This window comes from Homo sapiens, chromosome 5, assembly GCF_000001405.40.
Source record: "Homo sapiens chromosome 5, GRCh38.p14 Primary Assembly".
NCBI classification, from domain to species: Eukaryota; Metazoa; Chordata; class Mammalia; order Primates; family Hominidae; genus Homo; species Homo sapiens.
The window spans coordinates 123,220,691-123,245,477 of NC_000005.10; the positions used below are offsets into that span (position 1 = coordinate 123,220,691).

Consider the following 24,787-nt stretch of genomic DNA (forward strand, 5'->3'; position numbering starts at 1 on the left):
GAGCAGCATCACTTTGTTTAACTGACAAGTCTTACTGGGCCATTATCACCAAAGCATTCTTTGCACTCTTGGATTACAAAGCATTTCTTACTCTTTGGAGGCCCAGAAAAAATTGACCCTTTCAAGTTTGTAAGATTCTTTCTTTGTTCCTGCCCAACCTTGCTTGAAAATTGGCCAATTCTTTTCTGAGCTCATCTCTTTCTTGTAATACTGTGCTAAAGCCAGCCAGTAGCTAATACGCAACATCACTCTGACCCTTTCTACTAATTCCAGAGCTTCTGGGACTAGCTGCCAAGCCATTGCCACACATTTCAGGTTTTTGTAATGGCAGCATCTGACTTCCACTACCAATTTCTGTATTAGTTAAGGCAACACCAGTTGGTGTACAGAAACTTTAAATTCTCAGTGGTTTAACATGGAAATTTTATTTCTTACTCACATGAGAGTCTAATGCAGATGTGTAAGTGGGGTGGCCTTCTATGTAAAGGGGCCCAGGCTCCCCCTATCTTTTTTGTCTCCATCCACCTCTTGATCCTCAGCTGGCAGGTGGCAAAGCCATGCTGCTACCTGAGGAAGACAATTCTACTTCCTCACTGCTTCCACTTGCTTTCTGTTGGCGAGAACTCAGTCATGAGGTATAGTCTAATTGTGTGCCCAGGAAGGAAAGGAAATGGGTTTTGATGAACTCATAGCAGCCCCAGCCACATGTGTAACACACTTTGCTCACAACACTCAATAAATACACTTGGTGTTCTTGTTACTGAATGTCCATTGGAAATAATAGATGAAGGAAGTGATGTATAGTTCTAGGCTGCAATAAAGAGGACTTAGCAAAAACGTGACAGAAACTTCTAAATGTAATGTAAAAGAGGAATTGGACTTATTCTGTGTAGCTCCAGAGGACAAGACTGGGAGCAGCCAGTGAATGAGGCAGTTTTCCATTGAAGGTGAGAACTTTTTTATAATTAGGAACGAATCCCACATACAGTGTTGCTTTAAAGATAGGAAGTGCTGGGTCACTGGGAGCACAAAGGCAGAGGCTGCCATCACATATCTTAGAAGGAAGATTCCTGCCTGAGAGAACACCATAGGATTCCTTAGGTCTCTTTGAATATTAATATTTCATTTTCCGTATGAAATGGTGGAGAGAAACGACCCTTTGACTGGTGATATCTGCAGCAATGTGTTGACCTCTGAGACTATCTCCCCTCAGTTAATAACTACAGTTTTTGCCTTTGGGAGTATTTACTAACTCTATGTTCATATGCTACCCCAGTAAAATCTCCAAGTGAGCTTCCTTAAACCCCACTGTGAAGTTAGTTACTGCAGGAAATGGACTCATCTATTATACTACTGCCCACCCAATTGTTCAGTCTTGAAACCTGGGAGGTATCCTTGAATCCTCTGACTTATTCACTGTCACATCTGACCAATCACAAAGTACTTGCTCTTCTATTTTCTAAATATTCTCCAAATCCGTCCACTTCTTTTCATTCTCACTTCTATCACCCCGGTAGAGGCTACTATGATTTTTCATCGGCATCATCTCATGCTTCTCTCTCACCCATTTTTCACACGGGAGCCAGAATAAGCCTTTCAATCTGCATACGTGATATGAATTATAGTCACAATGTCCGCAGTGCAGGAAATATCCCAGCTCTTTATTTTTCATGTATCACTTTTCTCTTGATTTTGAAGCCCTATTTCTCCAGGCTGAAGGAAACTTGATCATCAGATATTCTTAGGGTTTTCCTGACTCCCTGGAATTGTGGCTTCCAAGGTCTCGTGTGATCAGGCTTGGGGGTCAGCTGGGGAGGCCTCTGGACATCCATTGCCCTGTGTGCATTTCTATTTTAGGAGTGATGCAGAGTCTCGGGGTGCTCCCTTCTCAGGCTGCTGCTGAGAGGTAGTCCCGTAGACCCCCATTCTAGGACCCACAGACCACTCCCCCATCTTCTGTCACTCCAGAGGAACTTATTTTTCTGATCTGGAGGGGAGCCCCTGTCTCTGCCCTTCTTCCCACAATTCTTTCTAATTCATTTGCAAATCTCCAAGTTCACTCTTAAGTGCTTAGGCTTTTGAAAATAAAAACCAGAAACTCTTACATGGTATATCTTACTGCTCTCCCACATACCTCTCCTAAAGTAATGGAAAGTGCAGTCAAATATCTATTTGGAAGGGAAAAAGATAAAGAAAATGCGGGAAAGAAGAAAAAACCACTTAAACTGTTCCAAAAGCCTGTCAGGCCCCAGGTGTAAATCTGCCGTCACTCACCACTTCCTTGCTTCCTATTGCCCTTGGCATCTCTCATGGTCTTTGGGCCACCGCATGATGTTATCCCTGCCCACCTCTGCAGCTCCTCTGCCCACCCCCCTCTGCTCCTTGCACACTGAACCGCATTGGGTTCTTCAAATACCTTGTTTCTAGGCCTGGATTGCTCTTCCCTCACCCACTCCTTGCCCAACTGCTATCTAAGTTCCAGGAATGATTTCAATATGGCCCCAACAAGGTCTGATCTCCTGTTCTGTGACCTCACACAGCACCTGTACTTCTCCTTCCCTGGACTTCATGCTACAAACTACTTGCTGTGAGCTATTCAGTGTCTGCAGGTTCTGTACGGTGGTGATGGCGTCTGTCTTATTACTGCTCTATTCCAGCCATTAGTGTGGGGTCTAGGCTGCTCCAGGAGCACTGTCTCGGTGCATCTTACTATTGGGCAATTTGGTGCACAGAAGTGCTGGAGTGGGCACGTGTGTGTGTGTGTGGTTAAATTTGCATTTAAACTAAGCTCATCTATGAAACATTCTATAGATACCATTATCATCATCCTTACTACAGATTTGCTTTTCATTCAGAATATTCTCGTATTTATTCTTGGACTTCTTCCTACAAATGTCTGCACATTCTAGTTTCTGTGGGAGCCAAAGGGAAGAGGGACAGGGGTGAGAAACCACATTTTTGAGAAACCTGATTCACAGCAGAAATGGGCCCTGGCAGCGCAGGGCTCTGGGAGCAAGGACATCGCAGCTATACTACTTTTAGGGGATGTATATTTGTTTTTAGCACATTGGAAGATTGCTTTAGAACCCCACCTCCCCAACATATGAAAAAAAGAAAAGAAATGAAAGAAAAGAAACAGGAAATGAAAAATCAGCAGAAAGAAGGTCAGACAAAGTTTCAAAGAGTCCAACATCAATATTTTTTTTAAAGGAGGAAAAAAAGCCAACTTTTTTTAAATGAAAAGAAAACCCTGTTTTATTAACTGATGATAGCTTTATGACAGTTGTATGATCTGGTCTATAATTTCTAAGTCATTCTTGAACTTGTCCCGCTGGAATCTCCCTTACAGTTGCTCAGGAACTAAAGCTGAACGTCATGATTTCTATGCTAAAAACTAACATCCAGGGCTCCTGGCACAGTTATGTTCACATGGACAAGCAGATGTGAAATGTGTGCACAAGGACATTCCCATACCCTGGTGTCATACTCTTCCCGGGAAACATATAACATAATGGTGCAAAAACAAAATAAAATTACTCTGGTCCCACCGCATAAATAATGCTTTAGTACTGCCAAGAGACGTTGTCTCTCTCTCTTTTTTTCCCCTTCAGATCTTTAATGAGTTCCTTTTCTACACTAAACACTGGGTCAAGCCCTAGATATTTTCAAAACTGAACATGGAAATGCTGAATTTGGAAAAGAACAGTGCAATCATATTATGATGTGATTTCCCTAAAAACGGGGACACTGGGAGAGGGAATCCTCTGAAAATTATAAAATTATACATTGCAGCCTTGAGATCATTTCTTCTCATATGGCAGATTCATGAGTGCTCACTATGGTAGGGACAAAAATTCTACTTAAATAAAATGATTATGGACTTTATTTAAATAGTCTTGTAAATAAATATGAAAAATGCACCAGCATTTTACTCTCACTTCTGAGAATTTATATAATAAAAATTAATTCTAAAGAAGGAAAAAGCTCCCCATAATCCCAGAATTTTGGAGGACGAGGCGAGTGGATCACTCGAGGTCAGGAGTTTGAGACTAGCCTGGCCAACATGGTGAATCCCCGTCTCCACTAAAAATACAAAAATTAGCCAGGCATGGTGGTGCGCCCCTGTAATTCCAGCTACTCGGGAGGCTGAGGCAGGAGAATGTTTTGAACCTGGGAGGCGGAGGTTGCAGTAAGCCAAGATCGTGCCACTGCACTCCAGCTTGGGCAATAGAGTGAGACTCTGTCTCAGAAAAAAATAAAAAAAGAAGGAAATAGCTTTATGCACAGAGTCCAATATAATTAACTTTAAAAGACCAAACAATCTGATGCCTTTAAGTAAATCATTTGCTTAATGCAATATTATGCAGCCATTTAAAATAAGGTTTACAAAGAATTAATAAAGGCTTGGAGAGTTGTCATGTTGTAATGTTAAATTAAAATGTAAAGTTTTAAATACAGTGTGATCAGAAACATTCATAAACCAATAACCATGAATACAGAAAAGAGCAGAGACAAATTGGCCAACATTGAAACTGTGTTGCTTTGGGGATGTTTGAATTATGCATAATTTTTGCCTCTACTTTCCTATACATTATAATGTATAGTAAATATTACAAATGTGTACATTTTTAATGTTTACAGTGAAGGGGAAAATCTTTATTTTTTAACAGAGAATGGTCTTTAACCTAATCTTTTCTTCACTCATCTATTGGAGATACTTGACTGTTAGATTAATGATTTTGACCACTCATCTGCCAAAAATTGTTATTTCAAAAGTTAAAGAGCAAAATATTAACAATATAAAAATAATAAAATATTTATTTCTTCTATTCATGCTACCCTGGTTAAATAATAACCATTTATTTTTCAAAAGAAAAGAAATCTTAGTGGTAGCTTCAATCTGGAGTGCTGGACCTGAATTGTACATTTACTGATGGAGAACTTTCTATCTGTTTTACTTGACTTTTATCTGTCTTACAGATAAAAGAAACAAGGTCAGCCAGCATGATTATAATAAAGACTTAAAGATCACAACAATAACATCAAAAAACCCCAAATTCTACTTGTTATTTGCCAGATAATTTTCAAATAATTTCTATACAACTGCTCACTTAATACCATCAAGTCTATAGGATTGTTTCCATTTTATAGGTGGAAAGATGGCATCACAGTGTACAAGTCGTCAGGCTTCCAGAGGAACTCCATTTATAATAACACTATCCAATTTTTTCTAAATAGCATGCAAACATGTGTTGTTACTACATTATAGAAGCAGAACATACTTGGTTTTAGTAAGTGACCACATTAAAAAAAAGTTGGAGGCCAGCCTGGCCAAAATGGCGAAACCCCATATCTACTAAAATACAAAAATTAGGTGGCGGCTGCCTGTAATCCCAGCTACTTGGGAGGCTGAGGCGTGAGAATCTCTTGAACCCGGGAGATGGAGGTTGCAGTGAGCAGAGATCGTGCCACTGCACTCCAGCCTGGGTAACAGAGGGAGACTCCTCCTTCTCAAAAAAATAAATAAATAAACTTGTGAGCTGGCCCCAACCCCTCCTAGCAATCACAGCTCCCCGTACTGGTGCCGCCGCAGTAGCCAAGTTGCGACACTGCCCACGGCCCCTCCCTCTGATGCAGATTCAGGGCTTCTCTTCGATCATGTTGGGTTTTGATTCTGTTTTTCCTTGACTGCAAAACCCTCTTTCCTCTCCTCTTTTGGGACAAGAGCCCTGGTTTTCTACGCTGCCCTTGGCCACCACACTGCCTGCCCCACGAGCTGGGAGGCAGGTTTTGTACAGTACGTTGTTATTGATATGATATAAAACATCAAACGTCAAAAAAATAAAAATAAAAAAAGTTGTGAGTTGGACTGATTAAGATGTAGAGACACATGGAAAGGCTGCAAGCTTCCAGCAAAGTCGGGAAGAATTTCAAGAATTTCCACACAAAGAAGGAGTCCTTTCCAGACTTGGCTCTACACATGTTACAGGTCTCATTTTATGTAGATGAAATGTTTTCATTAAAACTTGGCTGGTTTTGCACGTGAAGATGTGAAGTCCTTTGAACTAAGGCATCATTTGACTTTGGCTTTAGAAAAAAAAAAGAGAGGTAAGAATAGCTTACTTTTGATAGAAAGACTTATGTATGATTGTGTGCTGTCATTTGAGATCACCATGTACAGAGGAAGTTGTAGGATGAAACTACATGGGAATTGGGGCAAAGCAGAGGATTCTTGTCCCAAGAGGGTGACACTTGGTTAAGACCCCCCTTTTCCATGATAACTATGGCAAAGTGGAGTGGAAGAACAGGCAGGTGCATCTTGAATGTGTGGCCTCAAATCAACATGAAAAGTAAAGGGGTTGCATGGGGTATAGGGAGGCTCAAGAGAGAGCAGCATCGAGTATCAGGCTAGACACCCCAATTTCTAAACTGCATCTTCTTGAGACACTCTGTAAGTAAGGCACAACTATCCCAGCTTCATGGCTTGTGTGCTCTCAGGACTAAAGGCAAGGGCTGGACTAAAGGGCTCACTGAGGTCCGCTTGACCTCTAAACATTACGAGCCTTCTTTTCCTGTCAATGCCACTGCCAAACACCTGGCAGACAAAACGTCCCTAGAGGTCTCTTTGTTAACTCCCAGGATGTGGAGAAAATGATCACATCTGTTTAACAGCATATGAGAATGCCTTGTTTTCAGTCATCTGGCTGTGACCTAGAATGGCGGGGAGGGCTGGATTATTTTATATTTCTGAATGATCCCAAAAGTTGTTGTTCATCTGGCACAGCTGAAGTCTGGGCTACAGCCATTCCTTTACCTTTCATTCTGTGCTCCTGGGTGGAGCATTCTCCTCGATGAGACAGAGGGAGTGAGCAGTAGCAGCAGGGAAAGGAGTTGGCTCCTAGCCCCAAGTGGAATATGTCCCAATTCTGCTTCCAACCTATAGATCCAAGAATTTTGGAAATAGATGAAACAGGCCCCATGTGAGAGGAACTATTTGAAAGCCAGTTAAATAAATTCATCATTTCCCCCAACTCTTCCAGGACCCATGCAAAAGTTTGGAATGCTTGGCCATGGTCTTTGCCCATTGAAGTCTCACTTACCTTCAAGAGCTAATTCAGGTGCTCTCTTCTCCTTGCAGCCTTTTCTGATCCCCACAAGTCAGAATGAGCAGTTTTCTTTTTCATGTGCTCATTCACATGTTCTGCACTGTGTAGGACATGTGTTACCGAGGCTGTGTTATACCTACTGGCCTCTCCCATAATCCAGGGTAACTGAGCATTCCCCACTCCCACTGGGTCCCCAGTCAGCTTCTGGATAGAAGAAACAATGTGACATTTACCTCTGTAACCTGCACGTGGGGCTCAATGGATCTTGTGGAAAGGAAATGCTAGGTTTGTGGAGGTTCTGGTATAAGGGCTATTTTAGCATAGAGATTTTCAGTGAATTCTCCCAATAATGGACCTTTTAAGTGAACTGACCTACAGCCTAGAGCCTGGGAAGGCAGACAGAGTGAACCACAGGCTGAGAGAAAAGCCCAGCCCTCTGGTGTGAATGAACTCTTTCAGTGCCGTACCTCACCGGGGTACCTTCAGGCTCTAAAAAATGTCCTGTTTGATATTGTAAGCTCCCAAAGGGTGTGGACTGCGACTGCTCTCCTTACTTAAATAGCCCAGTGCCACATGCATGGGGCTATTTAATAAATATTGTTTAATGATGATTGCTCTCCCAGCATGGGAGTGTGGGGCTCTCAGCGTGCCCCTGGGAGCCATGTGCCGGGCCTGGCCCACCAGACGCAGCACACAGACTGCTCACAGTAAATAATATTTGCTGAACTCTCCTTTTGGGCAGTGAGATCCTGCACCAACTTTTGTGGGAAGTAATAAGAACATAGAACTCACGATTATTCTCCCTCAAAGCTGCTTACGATCTAATATAAATCTTAGACCCAGAGTTTGCAGAAAATGAGGGCAGAGCTGAACAAACAGATCTAGGCAGAAATGACTTTAATAAAAATTATGAAAATCCACACAATCGGTCACTGCCTTCAAAGTACTCATATTTTGCTGCTTCATTCTGATGCAGGAAAGCATTTGAAGAACTGACAATGGAAAGTGAGTGTGTGGTGAAGATTCCTGGTAGGAAGAAAAGCATCACTTTCTAATGTGTGTGTGATTAAGCTTCTCTGTAGGAAGAAAAGCATCTGGAAGGAAGTATCTTTTTCTGTGAATTCAATTCTTTCACCTAAAAAGCAATTATAAGACTTTCTATGTTTCTGCTAAAAGTATCTCCATAAAACTCTTCAAAGTCCTGTTTTAAAAAGAAAACTCACAGGAATAAAGGAGGGTTTACTTGTTTATTTCTTGTGCTCAGAAAAGCCACACGCAGTAAAGCTGATGATCTGGGAGCAGTGGAAGCAAGACTGCTCTCTGTTGGCTCAGTCACAGGTGAGTCCACTCCAAAAACAAGTCACACACAGTTTTTTTTTTTCCATCTTCCCTAACCTTCAACATTGTTCAAGGTCCTTCATGTTTCCCATGTGAATTTAGGAGTCAGAATCTCTGGAAACATTGGTTAGGTTGGCAGAAAGGAACATTAGGAGAGCTTTTTAACAAATCCACCCCAGTTCCTGGTCAGAACATGCTCTGATGTTCTTCCAAAACTGCTCTTCTGTCCTCTGTATTGAAAGTCTCCCCGCTGAGCCCTGAAACCCTACACTGTGCTATGTGCTTCACATTCACCAGGTCATTTTATCCTCCCAGGAATCCTTGAGACAGGTGTAGTGGGTATTCTCTGTGGCCAACCAGCATCCGAACTCCCTTTCTCTTGGAGGGCTACCCAAGCTGAGGTCTCAGTGGAGGCAGGGAGTCTCTGCAGGAGGAGGCTTATTCCCACAGAAAAGTGGGAAACTTACTTTCTCAGCCTCCCCTACAGCTAGGATTTGGACAAGTGACAGGCTCCATCAGTCAGACCTGGACCAGAGAGCCAATGACACAAAAAGCAGAGACGGCCTGGAGCCTGCTCTGGCCCACAGAGACACAGCCAGTTTCCAATAGCAGAAATGATTCTAGTGTCAGCAGCCAGTGAACACTGGAGTCAACATGGCATCTTCATGGGGCCAATCTGAGACATGACTTTGGACCTAGTACCCAGCTGTGAAGCCTGGGGAACCCATGACTACTCAGTATTCTTAACACAGCTTCTTTCTGCTGCTGAAGGATAGCCAGAGTTGGTGTCTGTTGCTGCAACTAAGAATCTTGACCAAGACACAGGAAATATTTTTTAAATTTTTTATTTTAAGTTCTGGGGTGCATGTGCAGCATGTTGCTACATAGGTAAACATGTGCCATGGTGGTTTGCTGCACCTGTCAACCCATCACCTAGGTGTTAAGCTCCACATGCATTAGCTATTTTTACTGATGCTCTCCCTCCCCCTACACCCCGCAACAGGCTCCAGTGTGTGTTGTTCCCCTCCCTGTGTCCATGTGTTCTCATTGTTCAGCTCTCACTTAGAAGTGAGAACATGTGGTGTTTGGTTTTCTGTTCCCGCGTTAGTTTGCTGAGGATAATGGCTTCCAGATCTATCCATGTCCCTGCAAAGGACAAGATCTTGTTCCTTTTTATGGCTGCATCGTATTCCATGGTGTATATGTGCCACATTTTCTTTATCCAGTCTATCGCTGATGAGCATTTGGGTTGATTCCATGTCTTTGCTATTGTGAATAATGCTGCAATAAACATGTGTGTATGTATCTTTATAATAAAATGATTCATATTCCTTTGGGTATATACCCAGTGGTGGGATTGCTGGGTCAAATGCTATTTCTGGTTCTAGTCTTTGAGGAATCACCACACTGTCTTCCACAGTGGTTGAACTAACTTACATTCCCACCATCAGCACAGGAACTATTTTCAACTCTGCTTACAGATGTAAATACTGAGGCGAGAGGTGTTAAGTAACTTGCCTAAGGTCTAAGAGCTGGCGAAAGACAGACCTTGGATTCAAAGCCAAGTCTGCCTAATTTCAGAGCCCTTGCCCTTCATGTCCACCTCAGAGCACCCCTGCGATATTCCATATCACTACAGAACCCCTCAGGCCTTGCAGTGTTGCAGGAGGATGCAGGGCACTAGGACAAATGCCCCCAATACACTCTGGACCTTCCAGTTTAGGGAAAGTGAATTAATATTTTCTAAGCCCTTGATGCATTTAATCTATTTAAATTCCTATGAGTGCCTTGAAAGGTAGTCATCATTATCACTGTTTTACAGCTGAGAAAACCAAGACTAAACAAATGAGGTTATTTCTTGCCCAAGGTCACACCCAATTCCAGATAATTCCAAGCCTAAGCACTTTTGTCTCCTGTTGCCTGTCCACAAATTCTAGGTCCCTATGAGGAGCTATAAGTTATGGCCATTTTTTCTGTCTGCTGATGTCACACAATAATGTGGGAAAGAATAATGTAATCATTGAAGGTTTGGGGCTAGAGCGAGTATCTTTTGCCTCGTTTAATATTCTTGACTCATGATTTAAGCAGGTTCATAGGACTGTTACATTTTCCAAGTAGAAAGACTTTCTTCCATTCAACAAAAAATTCATTTTCTGGCTGGGCATGGTGGCTCACGCCTGTAATCCCAGCACTTTGGGAGGCTGAGGCAGGCAGATTGCTTGAGGCCAGCTCAAGACCAGCCTGGCCAACATGGCAAAACCCCATCTCTACTAAAAATACAAATATTAGCCGGCATGGTGGCACGCACCTATGATCCCAGCTACTTGGGAGGCTGAGGCAGGAGAACCGCTTGAACCCAGCAGGCAGAAGCTGCAGTGAGTCAAGATTGAGCCACTGCACTCCAGGCTGGGCAACAGACCAAGACTCTGTCTCCAAAAAAAAAAAAAAAAAATCATTTTCTGTGTATGGTGTGAGACAAGATTCCAATCATATATGTTTTTCCCATGTGAAAAGCACCATTTAATGAATAACCCATTCTTTCCCTACTAACTTTAAATGCTGCCTCAGTCATATACCAAGTTCCCATATGAGTCATACACCTGTCTCTAGATATTTACATTTTGTCCCCCACATTTTGTCTTCTAGGTTTTTATTGTTGTTCAGTTATAAATATTTCATAATTTTCATTTGATTTCCTCTTTGTCCTTGAATTATTTTGAAGGAAGTTTTTAAATTTTCCAAATGTCTAGATTTACAATTTGTTTAAATTTATTATTGAAATTTCCAAGCATCAGAATTCATTATTGTTTAAACTATCATTTGATTTCTAGGTATTACACTGAGGTGGGAGAGTGTGGTCTGTAAGACACAGTGCTGCTCTGTCCATTATAATAGTCATTAGCAACATGTGGCTAGTGAGCACGTCACATGGGGCTATCCAAACTGAGATGTCCTGTATCTCTAAGACTTAATATGAAAAAGCAGTAATATCTGGATATATTGGTAAAATAAAGTATATTATTAATTAAAATAATGTCCAGTAATATAATCACCATATTATTAAAATAATCAATACAATAATTTATAATAAAATTAATTTTACCTGCTTTCTAAAATATTTTTAAGGTGGATACTAGAAACTCTAAAATTATATATATGACTCACATTATATGTCCATTGGACAGCAATGATATTGATTATTTTGTATTTTTAACACTTGCTTTTGGCTCACTGTGTAGTCAATGTTTGTAAATATTCTTGTGTACTTGCAAAGAAATTCAGACCGCATTGGTGGGTAAAGAGCTGTATACATGTTCATTAGATTAAGCCTGTTAATTGGATTACTCATCTATCCTATGGCCTTACTAATTTTTTTTGCCTTCTTTGTCTATCAGATTCTAAGAGAGGTATGTTAAAAAAACTTCCTACTAGAAGTATGATACATGCACACTTCCTACTAGAAGTGTACATTTATTAATTTCTTCTTGCAATTCTATTTTTGCTTTCTATATTTTGAGGCTATGTTGTTAGGTGCATGTGCTATGTTTTGAGTCTGAGGGTTGCTGTGTTCTTTAAGTGCTATTTTTTCTTTTGGAGGTTATTCAGATGTTAACATTGACCTCTGCAGTTAATCAACCTTGCTCCCTTCCCTCCACGCCGCATAAGAAACGCAGGGTGCTGTGACTCCTATCACTACCGTGCCTCCTCCTCATCTTCCATATTATTGCCTTCCAGTATTTTTACACCAGTTTGTTTTAATATAATGCATATATTTATTTTATTTTATTTTTGCATCTTCCTTCTCAATCCTTCCTTCTGCATTCAATTTTCTTCTTACTGCAGAAAAGCCCTTAGTGATTCTTTCAGCAATGGTCTGTAACTGTCAAACTGTCTTTGTCCGAAATATTGGTTTACCTTCACTCTTTGAATGGTTTACTTTAGCTGGATACAGAGTTTTAGAACGACTATTATTCAAAAGTGACAGTGAAACAACTACTCTAGAAGACAAAATAGTGCCCCTCCCGCCCACCAAAAGATGTCTACATCCACATCCTAATCCCTGGAACCTGTGAATATCACATTATATAGCAAAGGATCTTTGCAGATCTATCAAATTAAGGATATTGAGAGGGGGAGGGTATCCTGTATTATCCAGGTGTGCTGAATGTAATCACAAGGGTCCTTATAAGAGGAAGGCAGGGAAGTCAGAAGTAGGGGAGTAGATGTGATCGGGGAAGGAGAGTTATGTGCATGTGAGGGAGAGAAAAGGGAGGAAGAGAAGTACAGATGGAGAGAGAAAGGGGGGCAGAGAGAGAGAGAGAGAGAAATGGAAAGATTCTATACTGCTGGCTTTGAAGATGGAGGAAGGGGCCCTGAGCCAAGGAATACAGGAAGCCTTTAAATGCCAGAAAAGGCAAGAAAACAGATTTACCTCTAGAATCTCTGTAGGAGACAGCCTACAAAAATGACTCCTTGATTTTAGCTGAGTGAGACCGGTTTTGGACTTCTGACTTCCAGAAAGGTAAGGTAATAATTTGTGTTGTATTAAGCCATATTGTGTGATAATTTGTTACAGCAGCACTAGAAAATTATTACAACCAGTAAGGACTGTATATTAGTAAAAAGGAAACTAGGCAGATTGAGTTCAATGTAACCAGATCACAGAGGCTACAATTAGTAAGTTAATTATCACAAGGTTATTTCAATTTAAAGATATTATTCTCTCAACTTCTGACCTTTTCCTTTTTTCCCCTTGTTTTTCCTTCCTTCTTCCCTCCCTCCCTCTTTCCTTCCTTCTTTCTCTTTATTTTTCTTTCTTTCTTTTCTATTTTTCTTCCTTCCTTTACTCCCTTTCTCTCCTTTCCCCCTTTCTCTTTCCCCTTCCCCTTTCCCGTTTACGGATTTACCCGAGCTACCTAGAATAGGGTCTGGCATAAAGTAGGGGTTTGAGAAATATTGGGGGACCATGTAGAATGCATGAATAAATGAATAATAAGTTTTATGCCACTGTAATTGTTGCTCGTTGGTAGGTAATTGGATTTTTCATCCTGGTCATTTTGAAGGCTTTCTTTGTATCCTGGGTGTTTTACTATATCCTATGGTACATCTAGGTGTGCATTAATTCTTATTTCTGCTGCTGGACTCATTTGCTTCCTAACATAAGGATTCATGTCTTTCCTCAATTGTAGAATATTCTCCAGCTTTTCACTCATGTCAGTTGTGGAAGAATAAGATATTTTTCCTATAACTAAAAAATGTCTTTAAAATAACTGAATCTTTTTTATTTTAGTTGGAAAATGTGTTGTTTTCTTAATAAGAAAATGGGAAATATCAAAATCACAAGCTGTAGTCACAATTTGAAGTAAACAAATATGATTCTCTGCAATAACAATGTACCACATGCAGTTCCCTAAAACAAATATTCATGGTTTCAAGTTCATAAGTCAGCAGTCCTTGGAAACATGAAAAGAAGAAACTATTGTGTATTACAGAAAAGTTTTTCACTCTTGTTAGTAAACTAAAAGATGAATGGCTAACCTAGTATTCTGTATCCTTGAAAGCTCTACTGGAGCTGTCTTCTCATTCTATGATTTTCATTAACTGTTCATGAAACACATGTCCTCTACTTTTCAACGACAATTGTAACAAATGTCCATTAAAATTATTCAGGGATTATGATAATTTAGTTCCACACCACCATTCTTCCTATTCTCTATTTCTAGAATTTGTCTGCATGCTGGACTTTTGCTTTCTATTCTGTGTGCTGCTTAAACTCTTGTGTGTTCCATCTTTATTTTCTGAATCTCTCTCTGCCATTATCCAGATAATTTCCCCAAATCCATCTCCTAATTAATTCTCTCTTTAGGAGTGGCTGGTTTGCTTTTAATGCAGTCATTGAGTTTTTAATTCAGTGCCTACATTTTTATTCGTAGAAGTTTTATTTGGTTCTGTTCAAAATGTTTTAGTTAATTTCATTGTATTCTATTACTTCATTATGGTTTCTACTTTTTTCTTTGTTTTTTAACAATGTTAAAGAGGGCTTATTTTATAGTTCTTTTAACATTATTGAACTCCGATTATCCTATTAGTTAAGTCTGATGACTCTCAGTTATTGTGGATTTTTTCCTTATTGCTTTATGGTTTTCTTAGAAGGTACTCATTATTAGTAGGGATTTTTTTTTTTAAAGCAGTTCAGTACATCCTAGATTATGGGAGTATTCTCCCATACAGTTTGCTTCTGTTGGGTACCCTTAGAAGTTCATAGGCCCAAGACCAGTGTTTAAATTTTCAGAATGAGACTCCCACAACACATGGTGATATAAATTCAGATTCAACATTTGCAAGTGATCTAGGCTTCAGGTTTCTGGATTTTTTCTTAGAAGACATTGGAGTTTTCTTACTGATTCATTTTGCCCTGGGAAAGAGCTTTTGTTTTAAATGGAGGACCAGTCCTTTATGAAAAGTTCTCACTAACTACTCTTCAACTGATGCAGGTCCCATGTATGGTCTTTAAAAGCTCATCCTAATAGATAGGGTCTACAGCCAGATACCATCATGACCTGGAGAAATACTGTATCAGCTTAAGCACAACAGGCTAGTACCTACCTGGCATGAAAGGACATCCCCTTATGAAGTGGGAGATGAAAGTAGATGCCATCCATTCGATGTTTCTACTAAGTCTTAGTTTTTTATCTGATGATTAGAACTATTTATGGATCCTACATTAAATTGTTGAAACCCATAAGATAAACGACAGTGAATAATGCATTCCATAGTTGAGCTTTTTATTTGAACTTAAGGACACATAGGAAAAGAATTCATTTATGGCTGCTGTGGTGTTGTCCCATGGGGAAGGAAGATGGATTTGTCAACCCCGGAGCGAGGTTCTCCCTACCCGAGGCTGCTGCCGTGTGGAGATCCCCTGGGTGAAACCATTGTCGCCATTGACCAGGAGGCAAAACCTTCAACTGAGGACTTAGGGAATAAGAAGGAAACAAAATACATTAAACTCAAAGTCATTAGATGGGATAACAGTGAGATTCACTTCAAAGAGAAAATGACAACACATATCAAGAAACTCAAAGAATTATACTGTCAAAGAGCGGTCCAATGAATTTACTCGGGTTTCTCTTTGAAAGTCAGAGAAGTGCTGATAATCATATTTCGAAAGAAATGGGAATGGAGGAAGAATACGTGATTGAAATTTATCAGGAACCAATGGGGTCATTCAACAGTTTAGATATTCTTTTTATTATTTTTCTTCTGCCCTCAATCTTTAAAAATGTTTTTGTAATGTGTTCAAAATGAAATTGAGACTGGAAACCCATCTTTTTTTTTTTTTTTTAAATGAAAGCAAGTTTATTAGAGAAGTGGAGAAACAAAAGAATGGCAACCCCGTAGGCAGAGCAGCCCTGAGGGCTGCTAGTTAGCTATTTTCATGGTTATTTCTTTTTTTTTTGTTTTTTTGTTTTTTATCTTTTTTTTTTTATTATACTTTAAGTTTTAGGGTACATGTGCACATTGTGCAGGTTAGTTACATATGTACACATGTGCCACGCTGGTGCACTGCACCCACTAACTCGTCATCTAGCATTAGGTATATCTCCCAATGCTATCCCTCCCCCTCCCCCCACCCCACAACAGTCCCCAGAGTGTGATATTCCCCTTCCTGTGTCCATGTGATCTCATTGTTCAATTCCCACCTATGAGTGAGAATATGCGGTGTTTGGTTTTTTGTTCTTGCGATAGTTTACTGAGAATGATGTTTTCCAATTTCATCCATGTCCCTACAAAGGACATGAACTCATCATTTTTTATGGCTGCATAGTATTCCATGGTGTATATGTGCCACATTTTCTTAATCCAGTCTATCATTGTTGGACATTTGGGTTGGTTCCAAGTCTTTGCTATTGTGAATAATGCCGCAATAAACATACGTGTGCATGTGTCTTTATAGCAGCATGATTTATAGTCCTTTGGGTATATACCCAGTAATGGGATGGCTGGGTCAAATGGTATTTCTAGTTCTAGATCCCTGAGGAATCGCCACACTGACTTCCACAATGGTTGAACTAGTTTACAGTCCCACCAACAGTGTAAAAGTGTTCCTATTTCTCCACATCCTCTCCAGCACCTGTTGTTTCCTGACTTTTTAATGATCGCCATTCTAACTGGTGTGAGATGGTATCTCATTGTGGTTTTGATTTGCATTTCTCTGATGGCCAGTGATGATGAGCATTTTTTCATGTGTTTTTTGACTGCATAAATGTCTTCTTTTGAGAAGTGTCTGTTCATGTACTTCGCCCACTTTTTGATGGGGTTGTTTGTTTTTTTCTTGTCAATTTGTTTGAGTTCATTGTAGATTCTGGATATTAGCCCTTTGTCAGATGAGTAGGTTGCGAAAATTTTCTCCCATTTTGTAGGTTGCCTGTTCACTCTGATGGTAGTTTCTTTTGCTGTGCAGAAGCTCTTTAGTTTAATTAGATCCCATTTGTCAATTTTGTCTTTTGTTGCCATTGCTTTTGGTGTTTTAGACATGAAGTCCTTGCCCATGCCTATGTCCTGAATGGTAATGCCTAGGTTTTCTTCTAGGGTTTTTATGGTTTTAGGTCTAACATTTAAGTCTTTAATCCATCTTGAATTGATTTTTGTATCAGGTGTAAGGAAGGGATCCAGTTTCAGCTTTCTACATATGGCTAGCCAGTTCTCCCAGCACCATTTATTAAATAGGGAATCCTTTCCCCATTGCTTGTTTTTCTCAGGTTTGTCAAAGATCAGATAGCTGTAGATATGCAGCGTTATTTCTGAGGGCTCTGTTCTGTTCCATTGATCTATATATCTGTTTTGGTACCAGTACCATGCTGTTTTGGTTACTGTAGCCTTGTAGTATAGTTTGAAGTCAGGTAGTGTGATGCCTCCAGCTTTGTTCTTTTGGCTTAGGATTGACTTGGCGATGCGGGCTCTTTTTTGGTTCCATATGAACTTTAAAGTAGTTTTTTCCAATTCTGTGAAGAAAGTCATTGGTAGCTTGATGGGGATGGCATTGAATCTGTAAATTACCTTGGGCAGTATGGCCATTTTCACGATATTGATTCTTCCTACCCATGAGCATGGAATGTTCTTCCATTTGTTTGTATCCTCTTTTATTTCCTTGAGCAGTGGTTTGTAGTTCTCCTTGAAGAGGTCCTTCACATCCCTTGTAAGTTGGATTCCTAGGTATTTTATTCTCTTTGAAGCAATTGTGAATGGGAGTTCACTCATGATTTGGCTCTCTGTTTGTCTGTTGCTGGTGTATAAGAATGCTTGTGATTTTTGTACATTGATTTTGTATCCTGAGACTTTGCTGAAGTTGCTTATCAGCTTAAGGAGATTTTGGGCTGAGACAATGGGGTTTTCTAGATATACAATCATGTCCTCTGCAAACAGGGACAATTTGACTTCCTCTTTTCCTAATTGAATACCCTTTATTTCCTTCTCCTGCCTGATTGCCCTGGCCAGAACTTCCAACACTATGTTGAATAGGAGTGGTGAGAGAGGGCATCCCTGTTTTGTGCCAGTTTTCAAAGGGAATGCTTCCAGTTTTTGCCCATTCAGTATGATATTGGCTGTGGGTTTGTCATAGATAGCTCTTATTATTTTGAAATACGTCCCATCAATACCTAATTTATTGAGAGTTTTTAGCATGAAGGGTTGTTGAATTTTGTCAAAGGCTTTTTCTGCATCTATTGAGATAATCATGTGGTTTTTGTCTTTGGCTCTGTTTATATGCTGGATTACATTTATGGGTTTGCGTATATTGAACCAGCCTTGCATCCCAGGGATGAAGCCCACTTGATCATGGCGGATAAGCTTTTTGATGTGCTGCTGGATTTGGTCTGCCAGTATTTTATTGAGGATTTTTGCATCAATGTTCATCAAGGATATTGGTCTAAAATTCTCTTTTTTTGTTGTGTCTCTGCCTGGCTTTGGTGTCAGAATGATGCTGGCCTCATAAAATGAGTTAGGGAGGATTCTGTCTTTTTCTATTGATTGGAATAGTTTCAGAAGGAATGGTACCAGTTCCTCCTTGTACCTCTGGTAGAATTCAGCTGTGAATCCATCTGGTCCTGGACTCTTTTTGGTTGGTAAGCTATTGATTATTGCCACAATTTCAGCTCCTGTTATCGGTCTATTCAGAGATTCAACTTCTTCCTGGTTTAGTCTTGGGAGGGTGTCCAGGAATTTATCCATTTCTTCTAGATTTTCTAGTTTATTTGCGTAGAGGTGTTTGTAGTATTCTCTGATGGTAGTTTGTATTTCTGTGGGATTGGTGGTGATATCCCCTTTATCATTTTTTATTGCATGTATTAGATTCTTCTCTCTTTTTTTCTTTATTAGTCTTGCTAGCAGTCTATCAATTTTGTTGATCCTTTCAAAAAAACCAGCTCCTGGATTCATTAATTTTTTGAAGGGTTTTTTGTGTCTCTATTTCCTTCAGTTCTGCTCTGATTTTGGTTATTTCTTGCCTTCTGCTAGCTTTTGAATGTGTTTGCTCTTGCTTTTCTAGTTCTTTTAATTGTGATGTTAGGGTGTCAATTTTGGATCTTTCCTACTTTCTCTTGTGGGCATTTAGTGCTATAAATTTCCCTCTACACACTGCTTTGAATGTGTCCCAGAGATTCTGGTATGTTGTGTCTTTGTTCTTGTTGGTTTCAAAGAACATCTTTATTTCTGCCTTCATTTCATTATGTACCCAGTAGTCATTCAGGAGCAGGTTGTTCAGTTTCCATGTAGTTGAGCGGTTTTGGGTGAGATTCTTAATCCTGAGTTCTAGTTTGATTGCACTGTGGTCTGAGAGATAGTTTGTTATAATTTCTGTTCTTTTTCATTTGCTGAGGAGAGCTTTACTTCCAAGTATGTAGTCAATTTTGGAATAGATGTGGTGTGGTGCTGAAAAAAATGTATATTCTGTTGATTTGGGGTGGAGAATTCTGTAAATGTCTATCAGGTCTGCTTGGTGCAGAGCTGAGTTCAATTCCTGGGTATCCTTGTTGACTTTCTGTCTCGTTGATCTGTCTAATGTTGACAGTGGGGTGTTAAAGTCTCCCATTATTAATGTGTGGGTGTCTAAGTCTCTTTGTAGGTCACTCAGGACTTGCTTTGTGAATCTTGGTGCTCCTGTATTGGGTGCATATATATTTAGGATAGTTAGCTCTTCTTGTTGAATTGATCCCTTTACCATTATGTAATGGCCTTCTTTGTCTCTTTTGATCTTTGTTGGTTTAAAGTCTGTTTTATCAGAGACTAGGATTGCAACCCCTGCCTTTTTTTTGTTTTCCATTTGCTTGGTAGATCTTCCTCTATCCCTTTATTTTGAGCCTATGTGTGTCTCTGCACGTGAGATGGGTTTCCTGAATACAGCACACTGATGGGTCTTGACTCTTTATCCAATTTGCCAGTCTGTGTCTTTTAATTGGAGCATTTAGTCCATTTACATTTAAAGTTAATATTGTTATGTGTGAATTTAATCCTGTCATTATGATGTTAGCTGGTTATTTTGCTCGTTAGTTGATGCAGTTTCTTCCTAGTCTTGATGGTCTTTACGTTTTGGCATGATTTTGCAGCGGCTGGTACCGGTTGTTCCTTTCCATGTTTAGCGCTTCCTTCAGGAGCTCTTTTAGGGCAGGCCTGGTGATGACAAAATCTCTCAGCATTTGCTTTTCTGTAAAGTATTTTATTTCTCCTTCACTTATGAAGCTTAGTTTGGCTGGATATGAAATTCTGGGTTGAAAATTCTTGTCTTTAAGAATGTTGAATATTGGCCCCCACTCTCTTCTGGCTTGTAGGGTTTCTGCCGAGAGATCCGCTGTTAGTCTGATGGGCTTTCCTTTGAGGGTAACCCGACCTTTCTCTCTGGCTGCCCTTAACATTTTTTCCTTCATTTCAACTTTGGTGAATCTGACAATTATGTGTCTTGGAGTTGCTCTTCTCGAGGAGTATCTTTGTGGCGTTCTCTGTATTTCCGGAATCTGAACGTTGGCCTGCCTTGCTAGATTGGGGAAGTTCTCCTGGATAATATCCTGCAGAGTGTTTTCCAACTTGGTTCCATTCTCCCCATCACTTTCAGGTACACCAATCAGACGTAGATTTGGTCTTTTCACACAGTCCCATATTTCTTGGAGGCTTTGCTCATTTCTTTTTATTCTTTTTTCTCTAAACTTCCCTTCTCGCTTCATTTCATTCATTTCATCTTCCATTGCTGATACGCTTTCTTCCAGTTGATCACATTGGCTCCTGAGGCTTCTGTGTTCTTCACGTAGTTCTAGAGCCTTGGTTTTCAGCTCCATCAGCTCCTTTAAGCACTTCTCTGTATTGGTTATTCTAGTTATACATTCTTCTAAATTTTTTTCAAAGTTTTCAACTTCTTTGCCTTTGGTTTGAATGTCCTCACGTAGCTCAGAGTAATTTGATCGTCTGAAGCCTTCTTCTCTCAGCTCGTCAAAGTCATTCTCCATCCAGCTTTGTTCCGTTGCTGGTGAGGAACTGCGTTCCTTTGGAGGAGGAGAGGCGCTCTGCGTTTTAGAGTTTCCAGTTTTTCTGTTCTGTTTTTTCCCCATCTTTGTGGTTTTATCTACTTTTGGTCTTTGATGGTGATATACAGATGGGTTTTTGGTGTGGATGTCCTTTCTGTTTGTTAGTTTTCCTTCTAACAGACAGGACCCTTCAGCTGCAGGTCTGTTGGAATACCCTGTCGTGTGAGGTGTCAGTGTGCCCCTGCTGGGGAGGTGCCTCCCAGTTAGGCTGCTCAGGGGTCAGGGGTCAGGGACCCACTTGAGGAGGCAGTCTGCCCGTTCTCAGATCTCCAGCTGCGTGCTGGGAGAACCACTGCTCTCTTCAAAGCTGTCAGACAGGGACATTTAAGTCTGCAGAGGTTACTGCTGTCTTTTTGTTTGTCTGTGCCCTGCCCCCAGAGGTGGAGCCTACAGAGGCAGGCAGGCCTCCTTGAGCTGTGGTGGGCTCCACCCAGTTGGAGCTTCCGGGCTGCTTTGTTTACCTAAGCAAGCCTGGGCAATGGCGGGCGCCCCTCCCCCAGCCTCGCTGCCGCCTTGCAGTTTGATCTCAGACTGCTGTGCTAGCAATCAGCGAGACTCTGTGGGGTAGAACCCTCCAAGCCAGGTGCGGGATATAATCTCGTGATGCGCCGTTTTTTAAGCCTGTCGGAATAGCGCAGTATTCGGGTGGGTGTGACCCGATTTTCCACCCCTTTCTTTGACTCGGAAAGGGAACTCCCTGACCCCTTGCACTTCCCAAGTGAGGCAATGCCTCGCCCTGCTTCGGCTCGCACACGGTGCGTGCACCCACTGACCTGCGCCCACTGTCTGGCACTCCCTAGTGAGATGAACCCGGTACCTCAGATGGAAATGCAGAAATCACCCGTCTTCTGCGTCACTCACGCTGGGAGCTGTAGACCGGAGCTGTTCCTATTCGGCCATCTTGGCTCCTGGAAACCCATCTTTTTAAAACAGCTGCTAATTTGAATTCTAGTGCTCATTATCCATTATTGTTTGTTTTCATTGTGCTGACTTTTGGTGATCAAGCCCCATCCCCTTTGTATTGCCCCCTCTTTTAAAATAGTACACATGTGCACAGAGAGACCAGCTTTCTCAGAACCATGCGTTTTTGGGCTTTTGGTGATAAACGAGATTGACCAATCCAAGGGTTCATAAGGACTCTCCAGTTGGCCCTGAAGTTCTAGCATGTGATGGCTTCACTCCTGGATTATGACTTTCAGTGGGAGGTAGAAATTTTTCAGAGAACTGGACTGAGGAAAAATGACCTTTTCTTAACTTGAAGCTACTTCAAAAATTTGAGGGTCTGGACCAAAAGAAGAGGAATATCAGGTTGAAGTCAAGATGACAGATAAAGTGAGAGTAATGTCTAACTCCAAAGATGGCTTCATTGAAGAAAAGGCATTTTAAGATTTTTTTAAAAATCTTGTTAGGGCCGGGCATGGTGGTTCATGCGTGTAGTCTCAGCATTTTGAGAGGTCGAGGCAGGTGGATTGCTCGGGCTCAGGAGTTCGAGACCAACCTGGCCAATATGGCAAAACCCCATCTCTACTAAAAATACAAAAAAAAAAATTATCTGGGTGTGGTGGTGCACACCTGTAGTCTCAGCTACTTTGGAGGCTGAGGCAGGAGAATCGCTTGAACCTGGGAGGCAAAGTTTGCAGTGAGCCAAGATCATGCCACTGCACTCCAGCCTGGGTGACAGAACGAGACCCCATCTCAAAAAATCTTGTCAGAAGATCCCAGAAAAGTTCTAATTCTCATTAGCAATTTAAAAAGTTTTCATGTAGAAATGAATACAACAGAATACTGTTCTTCTTTATTTTATTTGTAATTTTTGGCCTGGGCTATGGGTTTTAAGTGGACGTTGTCTGTACCTGCTTTATTAAACAATATTTGTAAAAACTGTAAAAAAAGAAAAATAATCCATTTATCTTGTGGCTGGGTTAAAGAGTTTTCTTGGTGTCCTGAGGGCATATGACCAACAGCCTGTGACTATGGAGAAATCTCAGTGTATGCAAAGATCTAACATTAAACTGTAATCTTCACCTAAGACTCAGAAAAGAACCACTTCATTCAAAGTCCCAAAGGTAGGTTGCTCCCATCCTCTGTTGGGAACTTGAAGACTCTTTCAAATTCACATACCATTTTTTCTAGCTTATACATTGACCAATGTTGTGAGTGGGTTACATGAAGCTAAGTCTTTTTTAAATTTTTCTTTTCTTTTCCTTCTTTCTATTTTTGGTTTCTTATTAAAGGATTGTGACTTTCTGGATTCGCCATTTATAAGATCATTTTTTTCTTTCTTTTTTTGTATTTCCTCTCCCTTCCTTTCTACCTTTGTTTTTTCCTTCTTTCCTGTTCCACTGAAGTCTTGAATCTAATGTCTGGGAAATTGGGAAAGAAGAAATCATTGGAAGTTCCTCCCAACAGCCATTGGACACACCTTTCCCTTGTATATATAGATGTAGTATTATATAATGAGGTTTTTCTTACTGACCATTGTTATGTTACCATCTATGTCCACATTACCTATTCTCAGCAAATGAAAGGAAACATGATTACTCCACTGAGCAGTGTCTCTAGGACTGTTATTTGTTTCAAAGATTAGCAGTTTAATAAAACAGCAATGCAAGAAACTAAGTCCATTAACTTTCACTTTTCTTAGCTGCATGTAAGTTACTAATTATAACAGAAGGGTCATTCCTAAGGAGTTACTAACCTTCAAATGATATGAGATAATTATTCTCAAGAGAATCAAACAAATTTGTAAGACAAATACACTTGAAATTTCAGACATCAATCTCTTTTTTTTTTAACCACAGCCTGGGAACAAGGGAACTATGAAATATAATTTTACCCCAAGGTCCAACAAATGACTACATGAAAATAATTTCTCTCCTGCCAAAAAGAAAAAAGAAAAGAAAAAAAGAAACCCTTTATTTTGGTACATTGCCTAATACTTGTGCAGGCTGTTGTTTTGTTTAAATAATAAAAATTCCCTGAAGGAGAAAAAGTATTCTCTATCAAATGTTGAGTTTTAAAAATACATTCGCTGTAAATTTTAGGAACCATTTGCTCTGTGTTAGTCAACAATTCAGACTTAGTGTTAAGTTAGTCGAGTGTGTAACTGATGGAATATGAGACCAGGTTTCTCATTTAGGTCAGCATTTGACCAGTTTATTCTCTCCCGACTTCCCACTGAAACACACACAAAGACATTGAAAGAAACGAAAATGCGCATCATCATCAGAAAGGGGAACTCAGTCAACCCACAGACCAAATCTGAGAGGAATTTCATTTAGATTTAAGATCAATTATCCTAGATTTTAAAACCATTAGTCCACCTCTTTGAACAGTGCTTATAGAAAGAGGAAAAAGAAGTCACCTTCGGTACCAAAATCTTGGAGGCAGCCCCTTTCGGCAGAGTTTCCCAAACCAGTATATCCAGGAGCTTAATTATGAAGAGTTGTTTCTTCTAGAAAAGCTCACATAGCCAAAATTTGGGCCCTTATGCAAAATATATCTCCTTTTAGAGAATCAGAAAAAAAATTACCAGTATTAAAGTTTCTGGATGTTCTTACAGAGTAAAAAATGTATTTAGTTGTGTTTAACTTAGAATTTCTAAATGTGTTTAATCACACAACTCCTTATTTTTTCTGCAAAATACAACCTGTTAACATCCTACAACACCAGTTCCAAGGGGCATACTTGGGAATGCTACCTGGTGCGTAGCTGCATAGATGCTGCTTTCTAAATGCCAGAATGTTGTTTCTCTTTTTCTCTCTCTTTTTT

At 40.3% G+C, this 24,787-nt stretch overlaps 1 pseudogene; it reads left to right on the forward strand.

The window, feature by feature from the left end:
* SUMO1P5 (SUMO1 pseudogene 5) lies at positions 15,267–22,897 on the forward strand (annotated as a pseudogene).